Genomic DNA, 15,944 nt, shown 5'->3' on the forward strand with positions numbered 1-15,944 from the left:
CAACCTGAAAAAGCTGATTAAATAAATAAACTGCTTTAAACTTTCCTCACCTACATCAAAGCTTAATCCTTCTCTATGACTGAGACTTAATAGTGGTCTACATCATAGCTTGAAGTTCACAGATTTCCACTGAGTTAGCTCCCCTTCGCTGCCAAGAAAGGCAGGTGACAGGAAGGCATTTACTTCTACCAATAAAAACAGAGGTAAACTCCACTATCCCCTCCAGGAAATGCAGCCTTCAGCCTGGCACATTCATTTCACTGTCTCCAGCCTTAACAAACGCCAGTAGGAGCCACCATTGCTGTCACACACCCACTGTTGCTGTCACACACCCACCATAGCATCACACACCCACCATTGCTATCACACACCCATCGTTGCTATCACACATCCACCCTCATTGAAAGCTAACCATGATAAGAAGGGAACTGCACAGAAACCACAACATCAAGATTTTGAATGACAGTTGAACTAGTTGACCTTGAAAGTTTCTTTCACAGTCTGTAATGTTATGACTTAATGTTACCAAGCTTCTCTCTCTCCATGCCCAAGCATATCCCAACAACCTTTTTTAAGGAAGAGAGGAAGACTCAGATCCTTAATCAGCATTTAATGCTGAAATAAATTATGTCTGGTTTTTATATTAAAAATTACTAAATATACCTTCAGTTCCATCTTCAGCATTTTCTTGCAGGTCAGAGAAGATTGTAGGTTTCACCAAGACAACACCATAACCTTCATTATTATGTATTATATTATTCACCATGGATATCTTGGGAATGTCATAATGTTCATCTAAGAAGTCCTGTGACATTGAAAACAAATGTTTTAGGAACTGTCATATTCAACATTTCCTGCCTTAAAAATCTTCTTTATTCACACTATTCTAAAAATAAAAGGAAAAAGCTATGTTTAGTCCCATGTTGTAGCACAGTCTGCACCCTTAGTGACACAGCTTTCCTCTGTCATTTCTGCAGATCTATAGGTAACAGCATTCTCACAAGAGATTCCAATCACTGATATTATCAAAATGTGTACACTGTTTATGCTTTTCAAAACCAGAAAATAGAACCCAACAATTTAATAAAGCATAATTTGTAGGTAAAACCATTCTATCCATTGAAAAGTGGGTGTTTTGGCTGATGCTCACCTTAATGAGGATCCCTTCCTTGCAGTGATGGATCCCATTGTCACTCAGGGTGCACTGACTCCCAGGGTAGATTTCTATACCAGCACCCTGTGAGTCACAGTTTGAGATAATGACAATCAGTTTTTAAAAGGCAAGACTATAAGAGTTTATTACAATTACTTCTTAGCCTTTAACACAGTACAAATGTACAGCACAAAGATAAAGTACTTTACAGATAAGTTTTACCAGCCATTTTTAATCAACATTTCCATTTGTTCCATTTCTAGCAAGTTGTTGACAATTTATCATTTTCAAAACCACACACACACACACACACACACACACACACGCTAAGAGTGCCAACACTTGATTCTTGCTCTACTCTCTTTCATTCTAGATAAATGTTTTCTGATTCTGCCAAGAAAAAAAAAAAGTCATTTAACAATTTTGTTGAAAGACACACTTATTCAAAATGACCATTCTCTCAGATACTCAATTAGTTGGAGATAAGTATTTGAATTTAGTAAAATATTGTAATTTGAGGATAGAAACAAGACCCCACATTTTCCAAAACGTGTCAGTTTTAAAATACCCCAACCCAACTTAAAAATCATTTCTATGAGTCCAACAATGGCTTTCCCTACCACACACGTTAACATCAGCAGCCAGTTCAAGTGTCATTCAAACAGAGTAACCAGAAAGATCAAACATGACACTATTCTCTCATACCTTATGGCACCAAAAAACATAAAAATAGTAAGAATTTCTTTCCTAATGCTATGCAAGGCACTCTGGAAAACAAAAATGATTCACTCAAACCTCTATAGTTATTTCAGCAACCATTTGGGAATAATTTAATGCACAACAGCATCGATGAAGAAGAGTTGCTGTAACCATTGATGACACATCTAATGCATGTATGTTCAGTTAATTTTCTAGTAGCAGTAGTATTCCATGAGAAAACATTTATTATTACTTAACCCTGTACATATGCCTGAACCATATGTATACACCAATCTAACTCTTTTGTAGAGAGGATTTTAAAAATGTGCTAATTGTGTCTTCTAAGAGATTTTCAGTTTGGGGTTATGTGCAAAAAAAGATTTTGGGGCGACTATGTTTAAAAATATCTATAGCAAGATGGTTAAAATTAAATATCAAACTGTCAGGAATCACATAAAATTTGTAAAGGAGAACAATTTAAACCAGCAGTCATGTAGCAAGTGAAAGTCATATTCAAAATATGTTATGAAAAGGAACAGATAATTTGGCAATTAAAAAGTAACTGAGGAGCCTGCCACTTCTGGGATGATGGAGTAGATGTCCCTATTCCTCCTGCTAGGTACGACCAAAAACCATGGGCATTATATATAAAACAAGCATAAGACTGAAAAATGGAGAGAAGAAGGCAGACCAGCTAGGGACCTCAGGACCCAAGAAACAACACCAACACAGTGGTAAGTTCCTTTCTTTTTGCTTCATAATCCCTAGACTTGGAGCTGAAGAAGCCAGCAATCCAGTACACCAACAGACATACACCCAAAAAAAAGCTGCTCTAACGAAAGGACTAGGCAACCTAGAAAGAGGAAAACTTTTAGATAATAATAGCTCTATTCCAGGTAAACACCACAGAGCCAGGACTTTCATCCCCACCAACCACAGTTGCAAGGCCCTCCCTGCAGCAGTGTCAGTGAAAACTATATGAGGAGCCTGGACTTGTACCCCCACCTGGCAGTGCCAAGACAACCACTCCCTCCCTACTGGGGCAGTGTCAGAGCAGGCCTAGTGGAGATTCCAGACTTTCACCATTGCCCACTGGTAACAAGACCACTCCCATATATCACAGTGCCAGTGGAGACCATGTAGGAAGCTAGACCTCCCACCCCTACATAGCAGTAAGAAGGAGCTCCCCCACCCAACTTGGGTATCAATGAACGCCAAGTGGGAACCATGACTTCTACCTCCACCAGTAACAAGATGATACCCATCTACCGCCAACCCTGTCCCTTCTTGTAGTAGTATCAGAGAAGCCAAGTTAAAACAGAAGATCCAGATTCTCACAACATAATATAAAAATATCCAACTTTCATTTGAAAATCCCTTGTCATACCAAGAATCAGGAAAATGTCAAAATGAATAAGACAATTAACAGATGCCAAAACCAAGATGTCAGAGATGATAGAATTAACTGACAGTGATTTTAAAGCAGCCATGATAAAAATGCTTCAATAAGCAATTATGAACACACATAAAACCAATGAAAAATGAAGTCTCAGCAAAGAAGTAGATGATATAAAGAACCAAATGGAAATTTTAGAATTGAAAAATACAATAACTGAAATAGAAAGCTCAATGGATGTGCTCAACAGCAGAATGAAAACAACAGAGGAAAGAATCAGTGAACTGGAAGACAGAACAGTAAAATTTACCCAATAGCAGAGAAAACAGTGAAAAAGAAAAGTAAACAGAGCTCCAGGGGTCTGCTGGAATATAACAAAAGATCCAATATTCATGTCATCAGAGTCCTGGAAAGAAAGAGGGTGAGGCTAAAAACATACTTCAAGAAATAGTGACTAAAAGCTCCCAAATTTGGCAGGATTTGGATAATAAGCCTACAGGTTCAAGAAGCTGAGCAGACACCAAACAGGATAAACTCAAAGAAATCCACGCCAACATACATCATAATTAAACTAGTGTAAGCTTAAAACAAAAATCTTGAAAGCATCAATTAAAATTTTATGCCTTACCTATAGGAGAGAAAATGTGATTGACAGCATCAGAAACCATGGACGTCAGATGAAAGACACACAGTATTGTTCAAGGGCTAAAAGAAAAAAAATTGTCAACCCAGAATCCTATAACCAGTGAAAATATTCTTCAGGAATGAGGAGGAAATCAAGATATTCTAAGAAGAAGGAAAAATAGGAAAATTTGTCACCAGCAGACGTATCTTCATAGAATGACTAAAGGAAGTTATCTAAACAAAAAAGAAATGATAAAAGAGAAGATCCTGGAACATCAAAAAGAAAAAAAAAGAACACAGTAAGCAAAGATATAGGTAAATACAATAAGCTTTCCTTCTCTTGAGTGTTCTAAATTATGTTTGACATTTGAAACAAAAATCATAAAATTCTCTAATATGGTTCTAGATGTACGTACATAAGGCAAATGTTTAAGACAATTATAAAAAGGAGATGGTAGAGAATAATAAAAGGAGGCAAGGTTTCTATACTTTACTTGAACTGGTGACACCAGTAAACTGTTATGTACATATAATATACAACCTAGGGCGACCACTAAAAAAGTTATATGAAGAGATATTCTCAAAAACAAATGAAATTCTGAAAAATGTTCAGCTATCCACAGGATGGCAGAAAAAAAGCAAATCAAGAAATGAAAAGCATAACAAACAGAAAACACGAAATAAACTAAAGATTTAATATCAATAATTAAATGTAAGTGGTCTAAATACAATTAAAAGACAAAGATTGCCAAAGTGGATTAAAAACATGACTCAACTATATGCTGTCTACAACTCACTTCAAACAGAATATAGGCAAGTTGAAATTAAAACAATAGAAAAAGACTATTCAACAAGAGCTAACTATCCTAAATATATATGGGTGCATATAACTATCCTAAATATATATGCACCCAATACAGGAGCACCGGATTCATAAAGCATGCCCTTAGAGACCTACAAAGAGACTTAGACTCCCACACAATAATAATGGGAGACTTTAACACCCCACTGTCAACATTAGACAGATCAACAAGACAGAAAGTTAACAAGGATACCCAGGAATTGAACTCAGCTCTGCACCAAGCGGACCTAATAGACATCTACAGAACTCTCCACCCCAAATCAACAAAATATACATTCTTCACAGCACCACATCACACTTATTCCAAAATTGACCACATAGTTGGAAGTAAAGCACTCCTCAGCAAATATAAAAGAACAGAAATTATAACAAACTGTCTCTCAGACCACAGTGCAATCAAACTAGAACTGAGGATTAAGAAACTCACTCAAAACAAAACTGCTCCACTACATGGACACTGAACAACCTGCTCCTGAATGACAACTGGGTACATAACGAAATGAAGGCACAAACAAAGATGTTCTTTGAAACCAACGAGAACAAAGACACAACATACCAGAATCTCTGGGACACATTTAAAGCAGTGTGTAGAAGGAAATTTATAGCACTAAATGCCCACAAGAGAAAGCAGGAAAGATCTAAAATTGACACCCTAACATCACAATTAAAAGAACTAGAGAAGCAAGAGAAAGCACATTCCAAAGCTAGCAGAAGGCAAGAAATCACTAAGATCAGAGAAGAACTGAAGGAAATAGAGACACAAAAAACCCTTCAAAAAATCAATGAATCCAGGAGTTGGTTTTCTGAAAAGATTAACAAAATTGACAGACCACTAGCAAGACTAATAAAGAAGAAAAAAGAGAGAAGAATCAAATAGATGCAATAAAAACTAATAAAGGGGATATCACCACCAATCCCACAGAAATACAAACTACCATCAGAGAACACTATAAACACCTCTATGCAAATAAACTAGAAAATCTAGAAGAAATGGATAAATTCCTCAACACATACACCCTCCCAAGACTAAACCAGGAAGAAGTTGAATCTCTGAATAGACCAGTAACAGGTTCGGAAATTGAGGCAATATTTAATAGCCTACCAATCAAAAAAAGTCTAGGACCAGACGGATTCACAGCCGAATTCTACCAGAGGTACAAAGAGGAGCTGGTACCATTCCTTCTGAAACTATTCCAATCAATAGAAAAAGAGGGAATCCTCCCTAACTCATTTTATGAGGCCAGCATCATCCTGATACCAAAGCCTGGCAGAGACACAACAAAAAAAGAGAATTTAGACCAATATGCCTGATGAACATCGATGCAAAAATCCTCAATAAAATACTGGCAAACCGAATCCAGCAGCACATCAAAAAGCTTATCCACCATGATCAAGTTGGCTTCATCCCTGGGATGCAAGGCTGGTTCAACATATGCAAATCAATAAACGTAATCCATCATATAAACAGAACCAAAGACAAAAACCACATGATTATCTCAATAGATGCAGAAAAGGCCTTCAACAAAATTCAACAGCGTCTCATGCTAAAAACTCTCAATAAACTAGGTATTGATGGGATGTATCTCAAAATAATAAGAGCTGTTTATGACAAACCCACAGCCAATATCATAATCAATGGGCAAAAACTGGAAGCATTCCCTTTGAAAACTGTCACACAAGACAGGGATGCCCTCTCTCACCACTCCTATTCAACATAGTGTTGGAAGTTCTGGCCAGGGCAATCAGGCAGGAGAAAGAAATAAAGGGTATTGAATTAGGAAAAGAGGAAGTCAAATTGTCCCTGTTTGCAGATGACATGATTGCATATCTAGAAAACCCCATCGTCTCAGCCCAATATCTCCTTAAGCTGATAAGCAACTTCAGCAAAGTCTCAGGATACAAAATCAATGTGCAAAAATCACAAGCATTCCTATACACCAATAACAGATAAACAGAGAGTCAAATCATAAGTGAACTCCCATTCAAAATTGCTTCAAAGAGAATAAAATACTTAGGAATCCAACTTATAAGGGATGTGAAGGACCTCTTCAAGGAGAACTACAAACCACTGCTCAATGAAATAAAAGAGGACACAAATGGAAGAACATTCCATGCTCATGGATAGGAAGAATCAATATCATGAAAATGGCCATACTGCCCAAGGTAATTTATAGATTCAATGCCATCCCCATCAAGCTACCAAGGACTTTCTTCACAGAATTGGAAAAACTACTTTAAAGTTCATATGGAACCAAAAAAGAGCCCACATCGCCAAGACAATCCTAAGCCAAAAGAACAAAGCTGGAGGCATCACGCTACCTGACTTCAAACTATACTACAAGACTACAGTAACCAAAACAGCATGGTACTGGTACCAAAACAGAGATATAGACCAATGGAACAGAACAGAGCCCTCAGAAATAATACCACACATCTACAACCATCTGATCTTTGACAAACCTGACAAAAACAAGAAATGGGGAAAGGATTCCCTATTTAATAAATGGTGCTGGGAAAACTGGCTAGTCATATGTAGAAAGCTGAAACTGGATCCCTTCCTTACACCTTACAAAAATTAATTCAAGATGGATTAAAGACTTAAATGTTAGACCTAAAACCATTAAAACCCTAGAAGAAAATCTAGGCAATACCATTCAGGACATACGCATGGCAGGACTTCATGACTAAAACACCAAAAGCAATGGCAACAAAAGCCAAAATTGACAAATGGGATCTAGTTAAACTAAAGAGCTTCTGCACAGCAGAACAAACTACCATCAGAGTGAACAGGCAACCTACAGAATGCAAGAAAATTTTTACAATCTACCCATCTGACAGAGGGCTAATATCCAGAATCTACAAAGAACTTAAACAAATTTACAAGAAAAAATCAAACAACCCCATCAAAAAGTGGGCAAAGGATATGAACAGACACTTCTCAAAAGAAGACATTTATGCAGCCAACAGACACATGAAAAAATGCTCGCCATCACCGGCCATCAGAGAAATGCAAATCAAAAACACAATGAGATACCATTTCACACCAGTTAGAATGGTGATCATTAAAAAGTCAGGAAGCAACAGGAGCTGGAGAGGATGTGGAGAAATAGGAACACTTTTACACTGTTGGTGGGAGTGTATATTAGTTCAACCATTGTGGAAGACAGTGTGGCAATTCCTCAAGGATCTAGAACTAGAAATACCATTTGATCCAGCCATCCCATTACTGGGTATATACCCAAAGGATTATGAATCATGCTGCTATAAAGACACATGCACATGTATCTTTATTGAGGCACTATTCACAATAGCAAAGACTTGGAACCAACAAAAATGTCCATCAAAAATAGACTGGATTAAGAAAATGTGGCACATATACACCATGGAATACTATGCAGCCATAAAAAAGGATGAGTTCACGTCCTTTGTAGGGACATGGATGAAGCTGGAAACCATCATTCTGAGCAAACTATCGCAAGGACAGAAAACCAAACACCGCATGTTGTCACTCATAGGTGGGAATTGAACAATGAGAACACTTGTACACAGGGTGGGGAACATCACACACTGGGGCCTGTTGTGGGGTGAGGGGAGCGGGGAGGGATAGCATTAGGAGATATACCTAATGTAAATGACGAGTTAATGGGTGCAGCACACCAACATGGCACATGTATACATATGTAACAAACCTGCACGTTGTGCACATGTACCCTAGAACTTAAAGTATAATTTAAAAAAAATAGAAAAAGACATATCATGCAAACAATAATCAAAGGAAAGCAGGTGTGGCTATATTCACATCAGATAAAGTAGACTTTGGAGCAAAAAAAATTACCAGAGACAGACATAATCATAAACATGCTGACTCACCAAAAAGACACAGCAATCCTAAGTGAGCATACACCAAACAGAACTGCAAAATATGTGAAGCAAAAACTAATAGTACTGAAAAGGCAAACAAACAAATTCAGTTATAGTTAGAGACTTCAACACCCCTCTCTCAACAATTGGCAGAAAAAAAAAATCAGAAAGAATACAAAAGAACTCAACACCACCAACCAACTTGATCTAGTTGACATTTTATAGAATATACCACCCAATGACAGCGGAATACACATTCTTTTCATTTGCTCACAGAATATGTATCCAGATAGACCATATCCTGAGCCATAAAAGAAACCTCTAGAAATATAAAAGAATTAAAATCATATAGTGTGTTTTCCGACCACAATGGAATGAAACTGGAATTCAACAACAGAAAGATAATAGTAAAACTCCAAATATTTAGAAACTAAACAACACACTTCTAAATTCTGCACAAACCAACGAATAAAAATAAATATCAAAATTTACAAAACAGCTAGAGCAATGCTGAGAGACAAGTTTATAGCATTAAATGCTTACATTAGAAAAGAGAAAAAGTCTCAAATCAATAATCTAATCTCTCAGGTGGAAAACCCAAAACAAGTAAAATAAATCCAAAACAAGCAGAAGGAATGAAATCATAAAAAGAACATAAAAAAGTAAAACTAAAAATTAAAATTAAATCTAAAAAAAGAACATAAGTGAAATTGAAAACAGAACAATTATCAAAAAGAAAAAAAACACAGAACAATGAAACAAAGAGTTGGTTCTCAAAAGAGAGAAGACACAAACTACCAACATCAAGCATGAAACAGGGATCATTACTATATACCCTGCAGATATCAGAAGAATAAGGAAATACTACAAACAATTCTATGCATATAAATCTGACAACTTAGAAGTAGTAGTCCAATACCACAAAAAGCACAAACTACCAAAATATACTCAATATGAAATAGGTCATTTGAATATCCTTTTAACTATTAATGAAATTGAATTCATAATTTTAAAAATTCCAAAAGAGAAATCTCCGGGCCCAGGTGATTGCATTGGAGAAATCCATCAAACATCTGAAGAATAAACAGCAATTCTACACAATCTCGTTTACAAAATACAAGAGAAGGGAACACTTCAGTATTCATTTTATGAAGCTATTATTATCGATAATAGAACCAGACAAAGACAGTGGCACAGAAAACCAAAACTAGAGTCCAATATTCATGAATATAGATGCAAAATTTCCTAACAAAAGATTAGCAAATATAATTCAGCAATATATAAAAATAATTATATACCATGACCAAGTGGGTTTTATGCCACAGAGGCAAGGCTGGCTCAAAATTTGAAAATCAACCAATGTAACCCACCATTTTCTGTTTTCCAGTAAGAAAAATCATGCGATCATATCAATCTATCCAGAAAAAACATTAAAAGTCAGCCTAGTCCTGAGAAAGGAACTCAGAAAAAAAGAAGTCAACATCCACTTATGATAAAAATTCTCAAAAAAAAAAAAAAAAAAAAAAAAAGCAGAAATTCTTCAACTTAATAACGAATATCTAAAAACCTGGTCAACCTTATTCTTTTTGATGGAATACTAAATATATTCTCTCTAATATCAAAACCAAGGTAAGGATGTCTGCTTTCATAGTGCTGGAAATTCTAGCCAGTGCAATAAGGCAAGGGGGGAAAAAGGCATAAAGATTAGAAAAGAAAAAAAAGAACCTGCACTTATTTGCAGATAACATTACTCTCTATATAGAAAATCCCAAGGAATCTACAAAAACATTCCTATAAGTGTGGTTCAACAAAGTCATAGGATATAGCATAAACATATAAAAATAAATTATATTTCTATATACTAGCAATGAATGTATGGACACTGAAATTAATACCATAATCACTCAAAAAAGTGAAATAATTAGGTACAAATCTAACAAAACACATACAACATTTGTATGCTGAAGAGTACACAATGCTGATGAAAGAAAACAAAGATTTGGCTGGGTGTGGGGGCTCATGTTTATAATCCCAGCACTTCGGGAGACTGAAGCAGGAGGACTGCTTGAGCCTAGGAGTTGGAGAACAGCCTAGGCAACATGGCAAGACCCCATCTCTACAAAAAATAAAGTAAAAAATGTTAGCTCAGTGTTGTGCCATGCACCTTTAGTCCCAGCTACTTGAGAGGCAGAGTTGGGAAGATGGCTTGAGCCCAGGAGACTGAAGCTATGCCATAAGCCGTGTTCATGCCACCGCATTCCAGCCTGAGTGACAGAACAAGTCCCTAGTCCCTATCTCAAAAAAAAAAAGAAATCAGAGATTTTAAATAAATGGAGAAATACATTGTTTTCAAAGATTGGAAGGCGTTAATCCTTCCCAAATTGACATATGGGTTTATTAAAGTTCCTATCAAAATCTCAGCATGATCTTTCGTGGATATAGACAAAATTATTTTAACATTTGTATTGAAAAGCAAAGGAACCAGGGTAGCTGAAACAATTTTGAAAAAAACAAAGTAGGAGAAATCACTCTACCTGATTTTAAGACTTAATGTATAGCTACAGGTATTGGTGGAGGGATGGCTACACAGATTAGTGAAACAGAATAGGAAAAGAAATGAACCATGACCTAAACCTCACACCTTATACCAAAATTAACTAGAAAATGGATCACAACCTTATGTAAAATATAACGCTATAAAAATTTTAGAAAAAAAATAGGAGAAAATCAGGATCTATGGCTAGGCAGAGTTCTTATCACCAAAACCTCAACTCATAAAAGGAAAAACTGATACAGTGGACTTCATCAAAATTAAATACTTTGCTCCATAAAAGGCCATATGAAGAAGGTGAAAAGACAAGCTACAGAGTGGCAAAAAATGTCTCCAAACCACATACCTGACAACGGACTAGTATCTAGAATATACAGAGAACTCTCAAACCTCTACAGTAAAGAAGAACAAACAATCCAATTAGAAAATGGGGCAAAAGTCACAGATATTTCACTAAAGAGGATATAAGGGTGGCAAATAAGCATATGAGAAAATGCTCAACATCATTAACAACTGGGGAAATGACAATTAAAACCACAATGAGATATCACTACACACTTATCAGAATGGCTAAAACAAAAAATAGTCAAAACACCAAATGCTCTTGAGGACATGGAGAAACTAGACCACTCAAACATTGCTAGTAGGATGGTACAACTACTCTGAAAACATTTTAGCGGTTTCTTTAAAAAAAAAAAACCTAAACATGCAACTACTATATGACCTACAATTGCATCCATTGTCACTTACTCCTTAAAAAATGAAAACTGTGTTCACACAAAAACCTGTACCCGAACGTTTATAGCAGCTTTACTGACAATAGGCAAAAACTGGAGACAATCTAGACATCCTTCCACAAGTGACAAAACAAACCGTGGAACAACCACACATTGGACTATTCCTCCACAGTAAAAAGGAGCAAGCTATTGGTACATACAACGACCTAGGTGAAGCTCCACAGAACCACACTAAGTGAGAAAAGCCAATCCCAAAGAGCCACATACTGTGTGATTCCATTTCTACATTTTTGAAATGATGAAATAAATAGAAATGAAAAACAGCTTAAGGTGTGCCTGCAGTTAAGGAAGAGGTTGGTGGGAGAGGCAGGTGAGTTTGGCTCTAGGAGGGCAGCATGAGGGGTCCCTGTGGTGATGGGAATATTCTTCTACTGACAGGATCGATGTCAGTATTCTGGTTGTGATGTTGCACGACAGTTTCACAAGATGTTACCATTAGGGGACACTGGTGAAGGGCATAATGCAGGACCTCTCCCTGTTACTTCTTACAACACTGTGTGAATCTACAAAGTTATAATTTTAAGGGTCTAAACCTCTCTTAAAGCTACATAAAGTCATTGTGAGATGTATTACTTTTCTTCCTATCATTTGAAAATGCTACATGAGAAGACCCTTGCACAGTTGAGTTTGACTGACTTGGTAGAGATGACTGTCTGAAGAGAGTGGGAGTACACACATACATCTTGGTCCCATATTTCATATATTCATTTACAACTTAAACACAAACTACTTCCCCAAGAGGACAAGAGCTTCTACCTTGGCGCCATATAAATCCGAGTTCTTCATTAGAAACTCTGCTGATGTCCGCACTGTGACTCCGGTCGTCTCACACTGCAGCACACAGTTTTCCAGCGTAGTCTTACCACGGTGAACAACTGGGATGAAAATACACGCTGACTGTTTTAAGAAGTAATGTGCCTTTTCCAATGTTAGAGATAGCCTCGCGCTGACATTAGCTATGGTCTAAATATTTCTCAATGGCTATCATTTAAATTTTCTTACCTAAATTACAAATTCATAAAATATAAAACAATGACTATTTTGAGTTATTTTCTACAATCTAAAAGCAACATTCTTTAAAAAGAATGACTTGACCTCAGATACAAAAGCACTTTCCATTACCAGAAAAAAAAAGCATCAGAGAGCAATTTTGCTGAGTATCTCGGAAGAAAAAGACTTTGATTCAAGAAAGGGGATACAAAGATTCCAGGAAACAAACATTACTCCCATGTGGAGATAACTTCAGTCTAGTGCTACCTTGAATACAGAGAAAACAGACCACAACACTGGAAAGTTTTAAAAGAAAAAAATCACCACACAGAAAAGAAACTAATATTAAACAACAAATTATCATGAATAGGCTATTTTTTACTGAAGGGTTAAGATTGCTAAGTCATCACACTATGTACATAAAAAAATAATTTTCTAGGCCGCATGCGGTAGCTCACACCTGTAATCCTAGCACTTTGGGAGGCCGAGGGGGGCAGAACACCCAAGGTCAGGAGTTCAAGACCAACCTGGCCAACATGGTGAAAACCCGTCTCTACTAAAAAACACAAAAATTAGCCGAGCGTGGTGGTGGGCACCTGTAATCCCAGCTACTTGGGAGGTTGAGGCAGGAGAATTGCTTGAACCCAAAAGGCGGAGCTTGCAGTGAGCAGAGATCACACCACTGCACTCCAGCCTGGGTGACAGAGTGAGACCTCTGCCTCTTGGTTTCAAGTGATTCTCCTGCCTCAGCCTCCTGAGTAGCTGGGATTACAGGCGCCTGCCACCACACCCAGCTAATTTTTGTATTTTTTAGTAGAGACAGGGTTTCATCATGTTGGCCAGGCTAGTCTCGAACTCCTGACCTCAGGTGATTCACCCGCCTCAGCCTCCCAAAGTGTTGGGATTACAGGCATAAGCCACTGCGCCCAGCCTAAATGAGTAAACTTTTTTTTTTTTTTGGAGACGGAGCCTTGCTCTGTTGCCTGGGCTGGAGTGCAGTGGTGCGATCTTGGCTCACTGCAACCTCTGCTTCCCAGGTTCAAGGAATTCTCCTGCTTCAGCCTCCAGAGTAGATGGCATCATAGGCGTGTATCACCACACCTGGCTAGTTTTTGTATTTTTAGTAGAGACAGGGTTCCACCATGTTCGCCAGGCTGGTCTCAAACTCCTGACCTCAGGTGATCCACCCTCCTCGGCTGCCCAAAGTGCTGGGATTGCAGGCGTGAGCCACCACGCCCAGCTTCATAAATAATCAGTCTTCCATACACACTCATACTCCAGAGATATTGCAGGTTGAGTTCCAAACCACCACAATAAAGGAAATATCACAATTAAAGTGAGTCACACAATTTTTTTGGTTTCCCAGTGCATACAAATGTTTATGGGAGTCTGGGGTGGGTGGATCACTTAAGGCCAGGAGTCTGAGACCAGCCTGGGCAACATCGTGAAACCCCATCTCTAAAAAATACAAAAATTAGCAAGACGTGATGGCACACGCCTGTAGTCCCAGCTACTTGGGGGGCAAAGGCAGAATTGCTTGAGCCCAGGAGTTTGAGGCTACAGAGAGCTATGATCATGCTATTGCACTCTAGCCTAGATGACAGTGAGACTGTCTCTAAAAACAAAAAAAAATAAAAGTTGTGTTTATACTAATGAGCATATGAGTTTATACTAATGAGTACTATGTTTATAATGCATCTATTAAGTGTACAAAGGCATTATGTTTTTTAACAATATATACATCTTAATTTAAGATACTTTGTTTTGCTAAAACATGCTAACAATCCTCTGAGCCTTCAGCAAGACATAATCTTTTTGCTGGTGGAGGGTCTTACCTCAATGTTGATGGCTGCTTACTGATCAGAATGGTGTTTGCTGAAGGTTAAGGTGGCTATGGCAATTTTTAAAAATAAGACAACAATGAAGTTTGCCACATTGATTGACTCTTCCTTTCATGAAAGGATTTCTCTGTAGCATGTGATCTTGTTTGATAGCACTTTACACACAGTAGAAGGTTTTTCAAAATTGGAGTCAATCCCATCAAAGTCTGCCTCTGCTTTACCAAGTTTACCTAATACTCTAAATCATTTGTTGTCATTCAACCATGTTCACAGCATCCTCCCCAGGAAATTCTATCTCAGGAAACCACCTTCTTCGCTCATCCATAAGAAGCAATTCCTCATCTGTTCCAATTTTGTTATAAGATTGTAGCAATTCAGTCACGTCTTGAGGTTCTACTTGCTATCATCAGGCTCTAGTTCTCTTGCTATTTCCACCACATCTGCAGTTACTTCCTCCATTCAAGTCTTGAACCCCTCAATCATCCATGAGGGCTGGAATCAACTTCTCCAGAACCCCTGTTAATGTTGAGATTTTAACCTCCTCCCATGAATCACAAATGTTCTTAATGACATCTAGAATGATGACTCCTTCCCAGAAACTTTTCAATTGACTTTGCCCAGACCCATCGGAGGAATCACTATCAATAGCTGGTATAGCCTTAGGAAGTGTATTTCTCAAATAGTAAGATTTGAAAGTCGAAATTACTCCTTGATCCATGGGCTGCAGAATGGATATTATTAGCAGGCATGAAAACAACATTAATCTCCCAGTACACCTCCATCATAGCTCTCAGATGACCAGGTACATTGTCAATAAGCAATCATATTTTTAAAGGAATTTTTTTTTTCAGTAGTAAATCTCAATAATGGGCCTAAAATATTCAGTAAACCACATTATAAACAGATGTGCTACCATTCAGGCTTTGTTGTTCCATTTCTAGGGCACAGGCAGAGTAGATCTGGCATAATTCTTAAGGGCTCTAGGATTTTCAGAATGGTAAATGAGCACTGGCTTCAACTTAAAGTCACCAGTTACATTCACTCATAACAAGAGAGTCAGCCTGTCCTTTGAAGCTGTGAAGCCAAGCACTGACTTCTCCTCTCTAACTATGAAAAGTACTAGATGGAATCTTCTTCCAATAGAAGGTTATTTCATCTACACTGAAAATG

The 15,944-nt window shown here is 37.5% G+C and overlaps 1 protein-coding gene across 6 annotated transcripts in view; it reads right to left on the reverse strand.

The window, feature by feature from the left end:
• The window catches only part of SHCBP1 (SHC binding and spindle associated 1), a 42,789-nt gene that overhangs the window by 4,262 nt on the left and 22,583 nt on the right, over window positions 1-15,944 (reverse strand). For 3 of the 6 annotated variants that reach the window (NM_001324318.2, NM_001324319.2, NM_024745.5), the window contains 3 exons: window positions 12,700-12,818; window positions 1,151-1,237; window positions 664-805 (listed from right to left, as the gene is read on the reverse strand). In NM_001324318.2, coding sequence (NP_001311247.1) covers window positions 664-805; window positions 1,151-1,237; window positions 12,700-12,818 — 348 coding nt within the window. Of the gene's footprint in view, window positions 1-663; window positions 806-1,149; window positions 1,238-3,876; window positions 3,954-12,699; window positions 12,819-14,506; window positions 15,496-15,944 lie in introns of those variants that run through there. The other 3 variants (NR_136738.2, XM_047434653.1, XM_011523335.4) reach the window with 3 other exon arrangements.

This window comes from Homo sapiens, chromosome 16 (genome assembly GCF_000001405.40).
Source record: "Homo sapiens chromosome 16, GRCh38.p14 Primary Assembly".
Lineage (NCBI taxonomy): Eukaryota > Metazoa > Chordata > Mammalia > Primates > Hominidae > Homo > Homo sapiens.